The 21,400-nt window shown below is 36.3% G+C and overlaps 2 long non-coding RNA genes across 2 annotated transcripts in view; one reads left to right on the top strand and one right to left on the bottom strand.

Moving 5' to 3' along the window:
* DSEL-AS1 (DSEL antisense RNA 1) overlaps positions 1–21,400 on the bottom strand; it is a 383,074-nt gene that overhangs the window by 275,936 nt on the left and 85,738 nt on the right. The gene's annotated exons all lie outside the window — the stretch shown is intronic.
* LOC105372174 (uncharacterized) overlaps positions 1–21,400 on the top strand; it is a 36,647-nt gene that overhangs the window by 209 nt on the left and 15,038 nt on the right. The window lies entirely within an intron of this gene.

Raw genomic sequence — 21,400 nt, 5'->3', positions numbered from 1 at the left:
AATTTTAATTTGGCAAAGATTGTATATAGAATATTTAAAAATTAATTAATTAAAGTTTCTCAGTGAAGCAACAGGTGAATAGGTTCTGTAGAATTGTGGTTAGCTTAAAATTTAACATTTTTTCTTGCTGATTCTTTAAAGATACTGCAATCTCACTTCACCTATTTAAAAATAAACTATACAGCAACTCACCCTACTGCATCACTCTCATTAAACAGAACATTTAAGAAAAAAAAAGTAGAGCAAGATACCTCTCAGCACTCACACTATATGTCACAAAATATGTACACAGTTTAAATATTCTACCCATGAAGAGTCTCACAGAGACACTATTATTGACTCCTACATTAAACACAATCTAGACATGGTTAAATGGTTTTTGAATTGACAGCACTGTGTAACATCAAATTAAAAGTAGGGAGCTGGACAAATACAGAATGGCATGCTAATGGTTATCCAGTGCAATTTGCATCATTACATTAATTTTAAAAAGCAGAAATTGTAAAAATCAGGCTCCATTTTTATCAGCCACTATATTTAAAATTTTACGCATTAGTACCCTTAAAACTTGGTGCATGATTTTATTTTAGTGGAAACTTATGATTTATAATATTGTATATATACTGTTTTTATTTTTTTAAATATATGTTGAATTACATATAAGATATAACCTTCAGTAAACAATAAATTTTCAAATATTAATCATTCTGAAGAGCCAAAGGTGTATTTCTACATGGTTAAGAGTTTAAGAAAAAATTACCTATGCTAATTTTGAAAGACTTTATTCAAAAATCTATTACTTTTTTGGTATCATAAACAGTGTACAAAATATAATTATATGTCTTCTTATCGATCTCAGATTATCATCATGGACATCAATTATTAAACCATATATGCAATGATTTATTATAGAGCTATCATAATGTGCACCTCCATATTACTCCTCTCCCCCTTCCTCTTTTCTCTATATCATCTATCTCACAGAACTCATTTAATATATTTAGATTCAGTCACACACACGCACTCATGCACACACACATATATACCTGCTTTCTCATTCACCCACATTTCATTTCTGATTTCAGATTCTGGGGTTCTCATAGATAGAATAAGGACAGCCAACATCCATAACCCTAAAATGTTTAATAATAAATCGGAAAGACAAAACAATAAATGTGGCAGAAGGTTTTCATTAGCTTTGATAAAAACATGGATAACTATTTAGTTCTAAACTGAGTTGCTCTGAACTCTTTAAATGACAAAAGTAGAGGAAATTGAAAAACCTTGAGCATCAATTTAGGCTCACAAATACATTGCAGCACTATATATAAATACTAAATATACTGTTTATGCTCACAGATTCATTGCAACACTAAACAGACTTATAAAATAATTTTTCAGCACAGAAAAATAAGTAGTTATGGAAATAATGTGGAAATCTTCACAAGGAGTCTAAGCCTGCTTAGATAATGGACGCACTCCAGCCCATCCACCAGACTGAAGGCTTTCTTTTGCCATCCAACAGTTTAGGGATTTTTTTATATACATAACAAAAAGATAGAACTGCAAATGACCAAGGAAAGCTTTAAGTAAATGTTTTAATGCAATTTTGGCAAAGCATGCCTACAAGGGGGGAAATGCAGCTGGATATTTTTCTTTCATCTTTAATTTTAGGCCAGTTTTATTAGAGAAAAGAAAGTTTTTGGCAAGCCTGGAAGTCTTTTCTTAACCCTATTCTGTTAAACACTTTTCATGTTGACTTAAAGCTGGTAAAATTTTGATAGAACAGACGTGGGGGAGAAAGATAAAGAAAGATCTATTTTCAATGAAGGATCTGCAAACTGTACCAATGAAGAGATTTTTTAAACAAGGGAGGTGGTGTCTGTAGTCTGTGTGCATGTGCAACATACAAATCTAATCTTTTCCCTCCCGTGCTACAATTCATTTACTGGCTTCCACAGTTCTTACAATTGCTTTTTCTTTGCCCCCTTAACTATGGCCACAAAGCTCAACATGACGTGACACATGACATTTTCATCAGCTTTCTGAGCACAAGTCACAATAGATTTTTTTTTTTTTTTGATTACTCAAAATCACTCTGCACCTAATGGCCTTAGGGCCACTGCCTGGAATTTATTTTGCTGGAATCCTTTTTCTCCCACCCACACCTAGGTAATGTGTAACCATCCTTCATGACATATTCAAGCATCACTTCTGAAACTTTAAGAACTTCCTGAACTTCCCCTATCAGAGGTCCTCACAACCATTCTGCGTTCCTTTATGTCAGTAGAATTTGAATTAACTTTGGATTTAATAAGGCACTATGTTAAATGATACCACTGTTAAATTCCATACTCACCCTACACAGGAATGTATTGCTACAAGAGCAAGAACTGTGTTTTTCTTGCTCACCACTGTGGTGCTGGCTTATATTTTACTGATTCAGTGAGGACAATCAATAAATGCATGTTAATGAATAAGAGAATGGTACAAAGGGCAGAAAGCAATAAAATTATAGGTGAGAAGAGTACATGCAATGGAAAAATCAACTGTCCTAACACAAGATAGGAAAAGTTATTTTCATAGTAATAATCCTTAAACTTACCTAGGGTTTAAGAAAACTAGAATTCATTGTATGTCCAGAGAAGTGCTGTATTAGTCAGGGATCTCTAGAGGGACAAAACTAATAGGATAGATGTATGTATCAAGTGGAGTTTCTTAAGGAGTATTGAGTCACAAGATGAGGTCCCACAACAGGCCGACTACAAGCTGAGGAGCAAGGAAGCCAGTCTGAGTTCCAAAACCTCAAAAGTAGGGAAGCTGACCCTGCAGCGTTCAGTCTGTGGTTGAAGGTCCCAAAGCTGAAGAACTTGGAATCCGATGTTTGAGGGCAGGAAGCTTTCAGAACAGGAGAAAGGTGGAGGCCAGAAGACTAAGCCAGTCTAGTCTTTCCACGTTATTCTGCGTTCTTCTATTCTGGCCACACTGGCAGCTGATTAGATGGTGCCCACCCAGATTGGGAGTGGGTCTGCCTTTCCCAGTCCACTGACTCAAATGATAATCTCCTTTGGCAACACCCTTACAGACACACCCAGAGACAATAATTTGCATCCTTCAATCCAATCAAGTTGACACTCAATGTTAACCATCACAAGTACCAAAAACAATCTTATTTGAACTATATTATGAATAGATTTTACCATACCTGCAACAGCATGAATCTTTAATTCTATATCCCAGAATTAAAGAAAACATTAAAATACTAAAGAAAGGCAGAGGGTGATGCTATATGTCATAGAGTAATAGCAAGAGAATTTGGTAGATACAAAAGCATTTCCAAATATCTGAAGAGCTACTATGAGAAAGGGGTTTAGACTTATTCTTTATAGCTACAAAAAACAAATGGAATAAAAGTGTGGTTCAAAAAAAGAAAAAATATTAAAAATGTAAAACCAGTCAAAATTAGCTAGTACCTTCTGGGATATTGAGCTCCTCTCACATAAATCCCTGCAGCACTGGTTACATGACCAAGCATGCATCTAGGATCTAGGCTAGGAGGATCCGGGAGGAGATAAGTTCTGAAGTTGTTATTTTGACAGTCACATTTGACATGAAAAAATGTTGGTAATTCTTACAATTTCAAAGATTCTCATAAAAAACTTAACAGCATGCTATAAATCTTTGCCCATGTAAATTATATATACAAACCTCCACCCCTGTCTCACCATGAGCTATTAGGAAGAAAGCAAATTTATGTTTTAAATGAACATCAGTATTAAAATTAGGTTACAGAGATAAGGTATTTGAGTAACAACCCACGGTTTGTACTATATTTGAATTAATGTCATTTGAAAGTTGTCATTTAAAAAATAAAAAAGATGTCTGTACCAGTTCTTCTGGAAATTTTACTATTGTAGGAACACGATTATGAACTGAGCCAACTGATTCCATATGCTCCTGGAGAACCGCCCATTAGCATATGTCAATGTCTAGAAATTTTTGTTGGGGTATCTACATTTCTTGAAAAGATTTTCAAGGCCAGGTGCAGTCGCTCATGCCTGTAAGTCTAGCACTTTGGGAGGTAGAAACAGGAGGATTGCTTGAGCACAGAAGTTCACGACCAGCCTGGCAACATAATGAAACCCCATCCATATGAAAAATAATACTGATACAAAGAAAGAAAATATTTCCAACATGTTTCTAGAATGACCTCAAATTTATTCTGATTGGCTGATTTATTAACCTCTCAATTAAATATTCATAGAGATATCAGTGAAATTTAACTTCTGTCAAGTCAAATTAATTTATAAGTGTGCACGTTTCTGTAAATGTTTGCATGTATATAATTTAACATATCAAGGTGTAGGATGGAAAGAATTATTCAATTTTAAAGGAACACTGATCATAGCATGTCATCTTTATTCTCCCATATATACAACTCCCCTGAGATGTCTGTTTGTAATTATCAAAAAAGTGGGCTGTTCTGACTGAAAGGACCATGAGCAAGATTTCTTGTTGTAGTTTATTATGAATGCAATTTCCATCGGTTTTTTGGTTTTGTTTTCTGAATGCTATGAGGCTTGTAAAGAACTTCCCAGTGTGAGACATCACATATTAATTGACGGACCCATTATCAAATCTAGTTGGTGTGTTTTGAATATAAGGTTGTAAATTATGGTCTCTTTGTCCTCAAGAGTCTGTATCAACCATTTATAATTAAATCTATGTGCCAAATTATTCTCTCCAAAACTAAGTATGGCTCAATTAAAAATTCATATGGATTATTTTCATATGTTGCAATAATTGTTTCTCATGTTGACATTTTTTAAGAATCTCCTCCTATACATTTATTTGTCAGCATACTGTTATGAGGGAAATTAAAATTATCATTAGCCACAGACTACTATCATCATTTTCTAATTATCTCACATTTTCATTTGGAAGGTTTATGATTGTGTGTATGACTTTCCACATCCTTTTTATTTTCTCAGTCCTATGCCAAGGTCTAGGAATGGTTTGATCAAGACAAAGCCCTATGGGTCTTTTTCTAGGAAATTTGACAGCTGTATACTTTCTCCCAGGGGATGTTTCACCCATATGCTATTTTCTGCCCATGGTAATAGAGTTAGCTTGTTGGAGTGCCTGGTTTTTCCTGGCATATCTAGCTTCAGGTCACTGATAAACATTTTGACTTAAAATGCCTGAATTTTAAGGGAACAGAAGCATGGGGGGAAAAAAAGGGAAAAAAGACCAAAAATAAGAACAAAGTTCAAAAGTACAATTTACAAAATGTATGCAAAAGGATCAGGCATGCATCAGATTAGTTACTTTGGAATTCGTGCAAAAAACTGATCCCTCTTAGTTGATACCTGACATCTGAGAAGGCCTGCTGGTAGCAGGTATATGACTCACCATACTCAAAGCTAAGACCAAAACGCTATAGACTTTGTACAACTCCCTGCCCACATATTCCTAAAGACCATTTTACATTCTTTCAGTCTGATGGTTACTTTAAGAGAAAATTGTTTCTTTTATCAAGTAAGAAAGAAAGAATGAATGACGTTAAACCACTGGCTTTCAAACGTTGTTCTATCAAGCCATAGAATTTCAGGTTTTCATATCAATGTTTCAGATGAGTATGTGTTTACTGGAAGAAACACTTGTCTTAGAAGAGTCCTGCCTTCGTATTATTCTTTATACTAGTACTTAATATAGGATTTAATTAGAGGAGGCATCTAGCTTTTACACAATTGAAGACTACTGCTTTAGAATCAACTATTCTAAAGATTTCTTAAAAATTTGATCTGGCTTTGATCTAACATTTTGATGCCCTTAAGTGGAGGAATTTTTTTTTCATTTTATTTCACTCTTGTGCAAATGTTTTATTTAGTTCACATTGTTGTAAAACTAAATTAATTGAGCTGTAACTTCACAGTAAAATTCACTCATAATACTTGAAAACTATTTTTGTTAGAGTCATGTAGAATCTTATACTTTTGAAATTAAAAATTCCAAGAGGCTGCATTAATTTTGTTTGCCTTGGTTATAAGGAGGCAGTTGGTCATTCCTGATTTCAAAGTTTTCTATATTAATATTGTTAAGAAGAAGAAAGTTAAGAATTTGAGTTTTCTTTTTTCATATGTTTTTTCAGTTTATTTTTATATGAGTATATCAACTTCCCCTTCTATTGACCTCCTTTATCTTGCCTTGATCAACAACTTAGCATTCCTATACCTGTCTCATGATAGACAATTAAATCTCCACTTCTACTATGCATCTTTTATAAAAATACTGGTTTACATGAAAAAAATTAAATAGGAGCAGTGCTGGCGAAAAACGAGTTTCTATCCTGGGTCAGACTGTGCAAATGTGATCAGAAAAAGGGATACGGGAGAAAAGTAGACAAGAGTTGAAATATAGTAAATGAGTAGAGAATTATTACTCCACTATCTGTACTACTGTCCACACTAGAATAATTCAAAAATGGAGCAGAGTTGAAGACAGCAGGAGAAGCCATCAGAGGATGAAGGCCTGAATGTACCATGGGACAAGAAAAAGGGATGTCTCTTGAGCAATTGAAACCTGCTTCTGCAATACTGGCTTTAGTTAGCTTGAATAGGTGTTATATCTACTGGTTTCCTGCTGGTAAGGATGTCTAACAATGGTGGACATATTCACCTAACTACACTAAGTATTGTATTATGCATATTAAATATTTCATTTTGCTGTGTTCCTCTTGCTTCAAGTCATCACTGTACTCCAAAGCTCCATTATCTATGAGTATGTTGATGAATTTGCCATCACTTTGATATAGAAGGATTTGGGGAAATTTAATAAGACATGGAGATAGATAGGCTCCAGTGTCTGACATTAACAGTCTCTTAGTGAAAGACAATTAGAGCAGTATGAGAAGTGTCAGGCAATGGGCATAACAATGTTAGTGAAAGGTTAGTCAAGTTGGTAAGGCATGTTTCTCAAGACATTCAATGATTTTATGTTAGTATCCAGATTAATCACCTTTCAAGTTAAACTAGTAAGTTATCCCAACTGATGTTGTAGCAAAAAAAAATAAAACATCCACATTGGGCAAAGTTCACAAGCCCTGAATGTTTGGTTTTTGAGAGAGTCATTCATAAGCATAGCCTCAAGTCCTTGAAGGATGCATTCCTTTATCAAATATTTCATGAAAACCTATAATTATAAGGCATTGTTTCAAATGTCATGAATACCAGAGAACAAAATTGATAAAAAATTATTTCAATTGGGAATTTAATTCAAGTGGGAAGAACCAGACAAATTAACAAAATGAATACATAAAATATATTGTATGTTAGGCGGTGATTATGTGATAGAAAAATAAAGTCAGCAAAAGGGGACAGAAAGTTTAGGAGTATGTTATACATTTTATACAAAGGGGTCCAAAAAGTTATTTCTAATAAGCAACCTCTTATTCGGGACATTCATGAACGATGGAAGTGAGCACATGGGTATCTGGGTAAAATCATGCCAGTCTGGGAATAACAAATGCAGACATACTGAGGTGAAAGCAAATCAGAATTATTTGTATTGAAGCAAGTTCACTGGAGTAGAACACAGTGAGTAAGGAACAGATGGGAAGCAAGGATGCCAGAGAAAGGAAAGGATGCACGAAAGGTGGGACCTTGCAGATGATTGTAATCACTTTGGCTTTTCTCTGTACAAGATGAGAAATGTAGAAATTATGAAGCAAAGAAATAACAGCTTTACTCTTTTCTAAGCAGATTATGTAGATTATTTATTAAGACTGGAGTAAAGGGACAGGGAAAAAGGCTTAAGTGATACTCCTACATCAGCCTCCCAAAGTGCTGGGATTATAGGCATGAGCCATTGCACCTGGCCAATAGACAGAATAATAGAAGAAAAGGTATACAAATTTATTCACATGCATATGAACACAGGAATCTTGAAAATATGAGACTTAAAGAAGGGCGAGATGGTTGAACTTTAAATATTTACACTTTTTTCACAGGGTGGGAGGTAAATAAGGGGAAGTAGGTAATTTTAGGAGTCACAAATGATTTTCAGGGGACATGAATGAGACCAAAGAACAATGGCCTGCATAATCCTAAGTGAACTAATGAAGGAACAGAAAATCAAATACCACATGTTATCACTTACAAGTGGGAGCTAGACATTAAGCACCCATGGACATAAACATGGGAATAAAAGATACTGCAGACTACTGGAGGGATGAGGGATGTGGACATGGGTTAAAAAACTACCTATATTTTGGGTACTATGCTCACTACCTGTGTACAATATACCTATGTAACAAACCGGCACATGTACCTCCTGTATATAAAATTTATATAAAAATTGAAATTTAAAAAAAAGGAATAGTGGCCTGGGACAGAGTTGCTCTGATCTCTAGGGGAGGTGGCAGCAAAGTGAGAGGCAGAACTTCACCACGAACAAAGGTCGTCTTACTATGCAGATAGTCTCCCAGGTAATCTCTCAGACCTGCCCTCAGAAGAACAAGTGAAATATCTTTCTGGTTCTTTAGTTTCTTCTTTTTTCTAGTGGTTAATCTTTATTTTTCAAGACTCCTAGCAAGACTTTTAAGATAACTGCATTTCTTTTGGAAAGATTTTTTAGCAGATAAGGAGATTGCAGATACAGTCCCTCCCTTCTGCTGGGGGAAGGGAGAGAAGCAAAAGATGGGTAGAATGTTTTTGGTTCTGAAGCAGCTTCTATGACATTCTGATTTCTTTTAATTCAAAGTACTCTGCATGCTAAAGCACCACATTTTGGGGTAGGACACCCTGCACCCTGACAGTGGTCATAAATCAGTGAGTACCATGTGAACTACATCTGATGCATAGAATTTGGAAAATCTACTGACAACTGACCAAGCCAGCATTAATATTTTCTTCAGCTTGACTGAATTTTAGGTAGGTTTCTTCCTGACTCTAGGACCTGACCCCTCTTTTCTTACAGCATTTACTGTACAAAGATTATAAATTATTTCTCTGTTGTTTTGAAATACAAATCTTTTCAAAAGCCTCTTGCTAGTTTTACAGTGTAGAAGTGTCTTCCTCAAAGACCTGGGAATTATCTCTTTGAAATGTAAACAATAAGAAAAATAGCACTCATATCTCCCAGTCTCTGTGAGAAAGTAGGAGCCTGACTTCAGTAAGCACCAATTAGCAAAAACAGGTGGCCTAATCACAGAGAAAAACATTTGCAAACTCAAAAATAATCAATGCGCTTGACATACTCATTGATCAACCTCTCTTCTTCTTATACTGCAGTCTCTCTGATCTACATTTTTGCCCCTTCTTTCACTTTAAGGACTCCTGATTAGATTAGGCCTTTCCTAATAATCCAGGAAAATTTTCACATGCCAATTAGCAAACTTAATTCCACCTACAACCTTAATTCACCTTTGCCATGTAACATTATATATTCATAAATTATGGGAATTGGAATGTTGATGACAAAAGAAAAAGATCAAGCTTTTAAAGAATTAAAGTTAGTTTTATCCAGAAGTCTTACTGAGGACTATAGACTGAGGCCTGTGCCCCTGGAGCAGCCCCCGAAAGAGGTTCTAGCAGACTGCTGCAGCACGGTCTTTCAGCCCACGGCTTACATACAGGAGGTGGATGTTTAGTGTTGGCAAAATTACATCAAAGTTTGGGTGCGAGAGTACATCTGATTATACATTACAGAAGCATAATTGCTAAGTCTGTTAGACTTTAACTTATGCGTAGGAAAAGAAAGAAAAGTACTAGGGTCATTTATCCTTTAGGTGTGGAGTGACTCACTGTCACAAAAACAGCATGGGGAAAACTGCCTCCCTAATCCAATCACCTCCCACCAGGCCCCTCCCCTGACACATGGGGATTATAATTCAAGATGAGATTTGGGTGAGGACATACACCCAAACCATATCACATGGCTTTTTATATTGGTTACTTTGGCTCACAATGTGAACATCATGAAGGCACCATTCTTCTGCCTACCACACACATCATATGGAGGTTTTGCTTTTGTTGTTGTTTTCCTGCACTTTGAATAATTCTAGATCACTAAGAAATCAAAGTTCACTGGCATACATTTTCTTAGAAGTTTAACAATTCTCTTAGTGACTTTTGGGCTACAAAGAGAAAATGCATTGTCCCAGAGTGTGGAAATTTATAAATTTGTGAGTGTTTAGAATTCTATGTATGTACTATACAGTTCAATAAATCCATTGGTCACATAGTATGTGCAAATCACAGTACTTGTGTCTGTAAATAAAGCAAAGTCTGCTCATGAAAATTATAATCCAGTGAAAATTATCCAAAATGAAAAAGGATATTAAAAATGTACACAAATACATTAAAATATCTGAAATGTTTGAATATATTAAAAGAAAATGTATTCGAAATCTATAATGAATGTTTTACTTTACACTGGAGCAAAATATGATATTTAACTTTTCTATCTTTTCTCTTTTTACTACAAGGCCATGCTGAATATGAGTTTTATTCAGCATACTAAAGGAAAATAATATTAAGAGACTTAGATTGAAAACCAATTTGGACAATATATATATTTTATATTCAGGGAGTACACTTATAGATTTATTAATGTGATGCTGTGGTTTGGGCTTCTACTGAATCAGTCATCCAAATGGTGAACATAGTACCCAATAGATAATTTTTCAACTCTTCCTCCTCTATCTCTCCCTTTTTAGATTCTCCAGTGTGTATTGTTTCCATCTTTATATCTGAGTGTAGACAATGTTTAGCTTCCACTTGAAAGTTAGAAATAGAAAGCATTTGATTTTCTGTTTCTATCCTAAGTGAATAGGCCATTCACTTAGGAAAATCGCCTCCGGCTGCATCCAAGTTATTTCAAAGAACTCGATTTTGTTTATTATTATGGCTGCATAGTATTCCATGGAGTATACATGCCACATTTCTTTAATGCAATCCATTGTTGATAGACACCTAGGTTGATTCCATGTCTTTGCTATTGTGAACAGTGCTGCATAAAATTTCCTCTGGGTATATGCCCAGTAATGGGATTGCTGGGTCAAATGGTAGTTCTATTTTTAGTTCTTTGAGAAATTTGCAAACTACTTTCCATAGTGGCTAAACTAATTTACATTCCCACTAACAGTGTATAGTCACTCACTCCCTTTGCTCCTCGGCCTCACCAGCATCTTCTGGTTTTTTTATTTTTGTGTAATAGCCATTCTGCCATGTGAGATGGTATCACATTCTGGTTTTGTTCTGCATTTTTCTGATGATTAGCAATGTTGGGCATTTTTTTGTATATTTGTTGGCTGCTCATATGTCTTTTCTTGAGAAGTGTCTGTTCAGGTCCTTTGCCCATTTTTTAACAGGGTTATTTGTTTTTTAAGTTCCTGATAATTCTGGATATTAGTTCTTTGTTGGATGCATAGCTTGCAAAGATTTTCTCCCTTCTGTATCTTGTTGTTTACCCTGTTGACAGTTTCTTTTGCTGTGTGGAAGCTCTTTGATTAAGTCTCAATTGTCCATTTTTGTTTTTGTTGCATTTGCTTTTGAATTCTTAGTCATAAATTACTTGCCTAGGCCAATGTCCAGAAGAGTATTTCCTAAGGTTTTTTTCTAAGATTTTTTTATAGTTTGAAGTTTTTTATTTAAGATTTTAATCCATCTTGAGTTAATTTTTTTATATGTGAGAGGTAAAGTCCAGTTTCATTATACTGCATATGGTAATTCAATTGTCCCAGCACCATTTATTGAATAGGGTATAAGATATGGGGTTTTAACATTGTTTGTTATATTTAATGAAATACAAGAAATGGATGTGAGTATATGAAATTTAAATATTTTTGTATTATATATACCATAATAAATATATATAACATATGACACACTGAATATAAATGTCTCTATATAACATAAAGACATATATATTCATAAATATATACACATATATATAAACCCAAAGAAGTATTTGAGTTGGACAGACTTTCTAAGACTAGAAAATGCTGATAATTCTTGCTTAGAAATTTTATAATTATTCTAGAACGAGTAAAGGCAGAACTATGCAACACCTCATATGACAAAATAGAAAAGGCCTCTTTGCCTCATTGTAGTTTCATCGTCACATAGTCTTGACCATGTGCCATCTGGGCTTCTTTTGTCCTAGATATTTCTAATGTTTTCTATACATTAGAGTCACATAATTTTACAGCAACAGAAGATTCTTAGAATTACACAATAACTTCGCTTCTATTTCTTTTTTCAAATGAAGAGAGTTTTTAAGACTTATGGGGTCAAGTACATCTCCAGGCAGAGAAAATGATCTGCCTTTCAGTAAGTCAACAGTGGACATTGTTTTCTCGTCAGCGTTCATGAACACTGCTCTAAACACCAATAATAATATGTTGACTGTTACTTACTTTATATAACGTTCCCAATTTCACTTAGCTCTTACCAATTAAGAATTTTAAAAAATATAATAAGCAGCTATTGATATATAATATTTTTCTTAAGATTATGTGGATTTGCATGTTAAAATTTATTAATAACTATTATAATTTTTCCATAATTGGGGTACCTATTGTTCAAAGTTTGATGCATAGTCTTCGAGAGTTTTTTTTGCAGATACTAAAAAGGAAAAGTATATAAAATAATATTTGAACACATAACTCTCTGAATTTGTGTGAGTTTTCTTCTGGCCTACCAAGTCTTCCTTTCCAGCACTTCATTCTAAAAATGAGTTCCAGTATTCATCCTTCATTAATACCCACTTGTCACGAGCTTCCTTACATTTCTATGTGTTATTGAAGACTCTTTCTCAGGAATATATTTTACCTTAGAATTTCTACATAATGCTTATTTCAATAGTGAAGCTCTATTTATTGGCATTTCTGAATCTATCTGAGGTCAATGGGGGAAATATTTAATAACGCATAAAGCTGTTGATCCCTTCAGTTTCCCAATACCAAAACAACAAGCTTAGTAAGGCAGAGCCTAGATGAGACCTCTAATTCTATAATGTTCAGAGGTATTCAAGCCCTGCTTCACTCTACTTTTGGCACAAGTGGGCAAGTATACTCTAACCTACTATAAGAAAAATGAAATCCAAAACAAACAATAGAATGAAAAGTTTCTAGAAAAATTTAGTTCCATTCTCCAGAAAGATGGCATTCCCAATTTAGTTTAGTCTGTGTCACTCATGTTCATTAAGTTAAATTTAATTGACTTTAATTGACCTGAGTACCCATAATTCTGGGAGGAAGACTGGGTGACCTACAATTCAGAGGACTATCTGTGCTTTTTTGAGCTGTTTGTTATTAGTGAGAACCTGGAAGGGAAGCATCCTCAGGGTGTGATTATCTGTGTGTTTTCTTGCCTCATTTCTCCCCTAGGTGTGTAAGCTTGTGGAAGGTAGGAATTGTATGGTTTTCATCTTTAAGTTTCCTTGCGTTTAGCAAAGACTCTGGTACATAGAAGCTCAATAAATTGTTGAATTAAATTTAATGGGAAGCAAAACCACAACGTGTTTTGATTGGGTCCCAGATCAAATAAATCTAAGTCTAGAATTGCTGCTATTGGGAAGGTTGAGAAATTTCTTATTTAATCCAATTTCTAAACATCATTCTGAAACATTTAATGCTCTTTAACTTGCCCCTAACCTAGAAAAAGTCAACCAATAATACAAATTTAAATACAAAAGCTTGGAATTTTTGTTTAAAACTGCTTGGCTCTAGCACATCACCACAACAATGGGAGAATAAAGAAATGAATACTCAATTGATATCCCTGGAATTCTTGAGACTCCAAAGTAAATTTCACCAGAAATAGAATGGTCTGTGAATGAAGATATTTTGTAACCACAGTTCTAACTGGCATTTTGTTACTGTTATGAGAAACAAGTCTTGGATTTTATGTAGTGTTGTTTTTTGTTTTGTTTTGTTTTGTTTTGTTTTTAACAAAGATTTGCTGTAGCTGAATTCAGTATATTCAGTTTGGCAGCTGGTAAATCTAGGCCTGTAGTGGTCATAATAAGTGATATGATGGCAATGAAATGTAATGGAAACAGCAGATCAATTAAAGAAAGAGCTGGGTTGTCTGGAAACAACGAATAAAAATTTAAATAAAAGTAATATTGTATCAAAACTCATTTGAGTTTTAACAGCTGTTTTAAGCATTACGCAAAAATATTCTAGTAAGCCTATATATACATGATTGAAGGATTATTTCCAAAAGTGACAGAAACCCAGTAAGAAATTTAACTCTTCATTTAAACTATCTGACAAAAAGGCTTAAAGGATAAAAATAATAATCTTGGCAGTATAACTCTTCCTTGTTGATTATCCTCTCATATTGATGCCTTCAAATTCTTGTCTCATGCCTCTTTGATCTGCACATTTATTCAGACATCGTGAGGTATTTTGGGTATATATAAATTATGAGTATGGAAAAAACAGGAAAGAAGAAGCAGAAAAAGAAAGATGGAGAGATAATAATAGAATGAGAGGAATAAAGACAAGGAGAGAGAGAAATATTTTGTGTTTTAGCAGTCCACATATGAGTCATCTGGATTGCGTGCAATTGGCTACATCCAACAAAAGCAAAGATTGTGTAGCTTGGAGATATTTTCCAATCTTCTTTTTGTCTGGAATTCTTAAAAAGCAAGGTTATGCATCTATCCAAAATATTTGCATTGGGATATAAATATATTAAAGTGAAGACAAGGTAAGATAATATGATTAAAAGCTAAAAATAAAATTATATGTGAAATTCTTGGTGCCACCACATTTTGAGCTCTGCAGTGATTTTCCAAGAAGTGAGGAAAAAATAACAAAATTATCTCATTTTGCATTTCTTTTAAATTTGCTGCCAAAGTCTATGAAATATTCATTTCTGACTTTTACTTACTACTCTTCCAAGTTTCTAGTGATAGTTAACAGCTAGACATGTAGACTCTCTGTTTTTTACTAGAAAGATAAAAAGTAAGGCATTCAAAGGTTGTAGACAGTTTTCAAAGATTCCAGGTAGAGTTTTCTTTTCAATAAATCAATAGGACATGTGCCCCCTCAAGTAAAGACAAACATTGCTTCAGAATGGCATACAATAATAATGAAAGAGAATCTATATTTTGATCCTTATATTAAGTAATTAGAATGGGTGGTAAAATATAATAATGGTATAAATTATAGATCTTTTTCTTTGTTTATTTTATAAAAGACTTATCACAGTAAGGTAAAAAACATTCTATTTCAACTTCTCCTGGGGATTCAAACACTGACACAGAGAAAGGGCAGCTGTCCCAAGCACTAAATGAATGATGCAGTTAGCTACAAGTCAATGCATCATAATGTCCCTATGGAGAAAAAGATTTCTGTGAATGATCTCTGAGTAAGAAACTGTACAGTGCATCAATATGTATTTTTCATTCATCATATCTCTGAGTGTCTCTTCTGGGGTTGCTCCTTCAGCAGTGTATTATTATATTCCACCTAGACCCCAGCCACTGATTTATCTATATGTCTTTTTACTGTCAGCTCTAAACATTGTACAGATACACACATATACATGCACACAAAGTAGTGAAGATACATACCCACACCCAAATTTTACTGGTTAATACAATAAGTAGGAATGACCAAAGACACTGGGCAAAGTGAGCCGCCAAATTAATAGACATTCAGGCCACTCTTTTTGTGATGTGTCCTCTGTCTTCCTACCTAGTCTCTCTAGTTCTGGTAAATGTCTCTCTCACAAATATAAACACAAAAATATATGTTTGTCATAGTTGTAATATGTTGTAAATATTTATAATTTTATGAGATTATATCTGCCTCTTTAGTCGAACATGTTATGTATTATTTTGCTGTTAATTTATTTGAACAGCTACCACAATGATGCTAATCTGTAGCAGAATTTTAATTAATGTTATTTAGCTGAATGGTTTTGAATACAAAAGGATGTTGCAGTCCAGTGCAATGTGAAATGCAGGACAGAAGAAGAGTATTATTACTTTTTGAATATCAACTATATTCTAGATACTGTATTAGTGATTACACATCTTTCCTTTGACCCTCAACATAATATTGCAGGGTTTGTATTTATGTTACCATTTGACAGGTAAAGACATGGGCTCAAAATGAAATATTAAACAACTCAATCAAGGTCAACTTTAATGCTAATTGGTTGAGTCAGAATTTTAATTCACAATACTTTGACACAAAAACTGTTTTACATCTATTAATTGGAGGATAAGAATCACCAATATTCCATTTTTACAGAATAGCTTTATTCAATCTGAAGAGTAACATACATTGTGAGATCATGCTTTGAAAACAATTTTTATAGATTTTTTTCCAGATAATGAATTTCAGGGTAAATGGGTGGAACTTACATATTTACTTCTACCACTTAGGTAAAATTCTCCCTCTCTTCCCCTCTCTCCACTCCCAGTCTATTATTTACCTACTTCTGTTGTATTCATATCTATAGTTTGTCCTTTAACTAATGGCAATGTGCATAGATAAGCTACTAAAAGTCAGGAGCAACATCAGGTAAGTTGTCAGAATATTAGAATATGTATGTTGATATTGTTTGGCTCTGTGTCCCGACCCAAATCTCATCTCAAATTGTAATCCCCATGTGTTGAGGGAGGGAGGTGAGTGGATCCTGGGGGCAGTTCTCCCATGCTGTTCTCATGATGCTGAGTGGGTTCTCATGAGAACTGATGGTTTTATGTTTGACAGTTCTTCCTTCGCATGCTTTCTCTAGCCTGCCACCGTGTAAGATGTGCCTGCTTCCCCTTCTGCCATGATTGTAAGTTTCCTGAGGCCTCCCCAGTAATGCAGAACTGTGAGTCAATTGAGCCTCTTTTCTTTATAAATTACTCAGTCTCAGGCAGTTCTTACAGCAGTGTGAGAATGGACTCATACATATGTATATATCTGGCATTTAGTCTCTTGCATGAATGACATCAATAGTAGGACCTACAACATGGTTCTGTGAACTTGTAAGAGGCAAGGTAAGATTTGGCCATGTGACATAGAATACAAAGGTCCTCTTGGTAAAAACTTTGAATCATCGACTACTTAGAACATTGAGGTTAAATCAGATGCACATTGAAGGCTCTAAGAACAGGACCGCTGAAAAATTTTAAAACATAAGTCCATTCTAGATGCTTCAATCCCTTCTTCTTGGCCTTTTTGCATGAGATGGTAGGCCATTGATAGTGCTCTGAATGCAGGCTACTGGGAGAGGAATTGTTTGTTTTGTTTTGATTCATTGTGCGTTCATTCTATGATCTGTCAGGGCTTTCAAGATCACTACTGATGTATCTGCGTGTAGATATGTATTAGAGTTCTCTTAGAAGGACAGAACTAATAGGATATATATATATATATATATATATATGATGTCATAGATATATATCTATAACTGACATTTACTCTCTTGTATGAATGACATCAATGATAGGACCTACAACATGGTTCTGTGAATGGTTAGAGACAAGGTGAGATTTGAACATGTGACATAAAATACAAAGGTTAAATTGTGTGTGTGTGTGTGTGTGTGTATACATATATATATAGAGAGAGAGAGAGAGAGGAGTTTATTAAGTATTAGCTTACATGATCACAAGGTCCCACAATAGGCTGTCTGTAAGCTGAGGACCAAGGAGATCCAGGCTGAGTACAAAACTGAAAAACTTGGAGTCCAATGTTCAAGGGCAGGAAGCATCCAACACAGGAGAAAGCTGTAGCCTGGGATGCTAGGCCTGTCTCTCCTTTTCACGTTTTTCTGCCTGCTTTATATTCACTGGAAGCTGATTAGATTGTGCCTACCAGATTAAGGGTGAATCTGCCTTCCCCAGCCCACTGACTCAAATGTTAACCTCTTTTGGCAACACCCACACAGATACATCCAGGATTAATACTATGCATCCCTCAATCCAATCAAGTTGACACTTAGTATTTTTTTATTTTTATTATAAGTTTTAGGGTACATGTGCACAATGTGCAGGTTAGTTACATATGTATACATGTGCCATGTTGGTGTGCTGCACCCATTAACTCGTCATTATGATATTAGCTAGTTATTTTGCTCATTAGTTGATGCAGTTTCTTCCTAGCCTCGATGGTCTTTACAATTTGGCATGTTTTTGCAGTAGCTGGTACTGCTTGTTCCTTTCCATGTTTAGTGCTTCCTTCAGGAGCTCTTTTAGGGCAGGCCTGGTGGTGACAAAATCTCTCAGCATTTGCTTGTCTGTAAAGGATTTTATTTCTCCTTCACTTATGAAGCTTAGTTTGGCTGGGTATGAAATTCTGGGTTGAAAATTCTTTTCTTTAAGAATGTTGAATATTGGCCCCCACTCTCTTCTGGCTTGTAGAGTTTCTGCCGAGAGATCTGCTGTTAGTCTGATGGGCTTTCCTTTGAGGGTAACCCGACCTTTCTCTCTGGCTGCCCTTAACATTTTTTCCTTCATTTCAACTTTGGTGAATCTGACAATTATGTGTCTTGGTGTTGCTCTTCTCGAGGAGTATCTTTGTGGCGTTCTCTGTATTTCCTGAATCTGAATTGTTGGCCTGCCTTGCTAGATTGGGGAAGTTCTCCTGTATGATATCCAGCAGAGTGTTTTCCAACTTGGTTCCATTCTCCCCGTCACTTTCAGGTACACCAATCAGACGTAGATTTGGTCTTTTCACATAGTCCCATATTTCTTGGAGGCTTTGCTCGTTTCTTTTTATTCTTTTTTCTCTAAACTCCCCTTCTCACTTCATTTCATTCATTTCATCTTCCATCGCTGATACCCTTTCTTCCAGTTGATCGCATCGGCTCCTGAGGCTTCTGCATTCTTCACATAGTTCTCGAGCCTTGGTTTTCAGCTCCATCAGCTCCTTTAAGCACTTCTCTGTATTGGTTATTCTAGTTATACATTCTTCTAAATTTTTTTCGAAGTTTTCAACTTCTTTGCCTTTGGTTTGAATGTCCTCCCGTAGCTCGGAGTGATTTGATCGTCTGAAGCCTTCTTCTCTCAGCTGGTCAAAGTCATTCTCCGTCCAGCTTTGTTCCATTGCTGGTGAGGAACTGCGCTCCTTTGGAGGAGGAGAAGCACTCTGCTTTTTAGAGTCTCCAGTTTTTCTGCTGTTTTTTCCCCATCTTTGTGGTTTATCTACTTTTGGTCTTTGATGATGGTGATGTACAGATGGGTTTTTGGTGTGGATGTCCTTTCTGTTTGTTAGTTTTCCTTCTAACAGACAGGACCCTCAGCTGCAGGTCTGTTGGAGTACCCGGCCCTGTGAGGTGTCAGTCTGCCCCTGCTGGGGGGTGCCTCCCAGTTAGGCTGCTCGGGGGTCAGGGGTCAGGGACCCACTTGAGGAGGCAGTCTGCCCGTTCTCAGATTTCCAGCTGCGTGCTGGGAGAACCACTGCTCTCTTCAAAGCTGTCAGACAGGGACATTTAAGTCTGCAGAGATTACTGCTGTCTTTTTGTTTGCCTGTGCCCTGCCCCAGAGGTGGAGCGTACAGAGGCAGGCAGGCCTCCTTGAGCTGTGGTGGGCTCCACCCAGTTTGAGCTTCCCGGCTGCTTTGTTTACCTAAGCAAGCCTGGGCAATGGCAGGCGCCCCTCCCCCAGCCTCGCTGCCACCTTGCAGTTTGATCTCAGACTGCTGTGCTAGCAATCAGCGAGACTCCGTGGGCGTAGGACCCTCTGAGCCAGGTGCGGGATATAATCTCCTGGTGCACCGTTTTTTAAGCCCATCGGAAAAGCACAGTATTCGGGTGGGAGTGACCTGATTTTCCAGGTGCATCCGTCACCCCTTTCTTTGACTCGGAAAGGGAACTCCCTGACCCCTTGCGCTTCCCAGGTGAGGCAATGCCTTGCCCTTCTTTGGCTGGAGCACGGTGCACGCACCCACTGACCTGCGCCCACTGTCTGGCACTCCCTAGTGAGGTGAACCCGGTACCTCAGATGGAAATGCAGAAATCACCCGCTTCTGCATCGCTCACGCTGGGAGCTGTAGACCGGAGCTGTTCCTATTCGGCCATCTTGGCTCCTCCCCGCCGACACTTAGTATTAACCATCACAAGATAATATTTCATTTGCTATTGATATCACTTAGACCATTACACCTTGGATGATGAGGAGGCTATATAAGTCTTAGAAATTAATGAGATAAAGGTCACATCTAACCATCCAGAACTCTGCAACAGTATGTTACAACCCAGGTAAGTACCAGGAATGCTTTTTTTTTCTTTTTTTTTTTTTGTTTGTTTGTTTTTCTGAGTTACAATAACAGAAATGTATTCCCTCAAAGTTCTGGAGGCTAGAAATCCCAAATCACGGTCGGGGTAGGGCCAGCTTCCACTGAAGCTCTAGTAGCCCCAGACATTCCTTACTATGTGGCAGCATAACTCTAATCTCTCAATCTTCACATGCCCATCCTTCTTTTGTGTCTGTCTCCTCTTGTTTTTCTTCTTATAAGGTCACCATCTTAATCTGATTACATCTACAAAGGCCCTATTTCCAAAGAAACTCATATTCACAGGTACTGGCGGCTGGGACTTCAACATACCTTTTGGGGAAACACAATTCAATCCATAACAGATGTCAATCAAGTGAGGGAGAGAGAGCTGAATCATCTGAGATTTCCAGAAAGAAAGATAAGATGCCAAGTCCTATTGTAGCAGAAGGTTCTGCTATTAAAAAAAATAAAAATAAAAATAAAAAATAAAAATAAAAAACCTGGCTTCTGCTGAAATAGAGCCTCCACCAATAGAAAAAACTCCCAGCTGAAATACATGCTCCATTAGCCGAAGAGGCTACTGATTAAGCAGAGCTCAAACCTGCTGGGGAGACCCATGCCGAAGTTCAGGCACCAACTGAACAGACTCCTGCTGCTGAGGCAGCCACTACAATTGCAGAGGCCTCTGTTAAAGTTCAGCCTCCACCAGCTGAAGAGGCTTCATTAGCAAAGTTTCCTGCTGAAATTCAGCCTCCAGCTGACCAGGAGAGAGGCAGTGAAGACATATGACGGTACAAATCCTCTCAGGCTGAGTCCTGAAACGTCTCACCAAGAGACCAGAAGTATCCAATCTCATTATATCAAATGTTGGGGTACACTTGCTGTGAAACTTACAGCTCTTGCTGGAATAAATGAAGAATCCATTTCTTATACCACACATAAAAGAGAGGTCAGTTTCCCTTTGCTTCACACACAAACACACACACACAAACACAATCTCTCTTCCACACTTCACCTACCTCCAAAGCACTAAAAGCACTTCCAAAATGAATGATAGGGCATACCCATCGCAATAAAGTAAATATTGCAATAAGGTAAGCCAGACAACTTTTTTTGGTTTTCCAGCACTTATACAAGTTATCTTTACACTATTCAGTGGTATATTAA

Source organism: Homo sapiens, chromosome 18 (genome assembly GCF_000001405.40).
Source record: "Homo sapiens chromosome 18, GRCh38.p14 Primary Assembly".
Lineage (NCBI taxonomy): Eukaryota > Metazoa > Chordata > Mammalia > Primates > Hominidae > Homo > Homo sapiens.
Note: the sequence above shows the minus strand (reverse complement) of the source record. Positions and strands in the feature narration are given on the sequence as shown.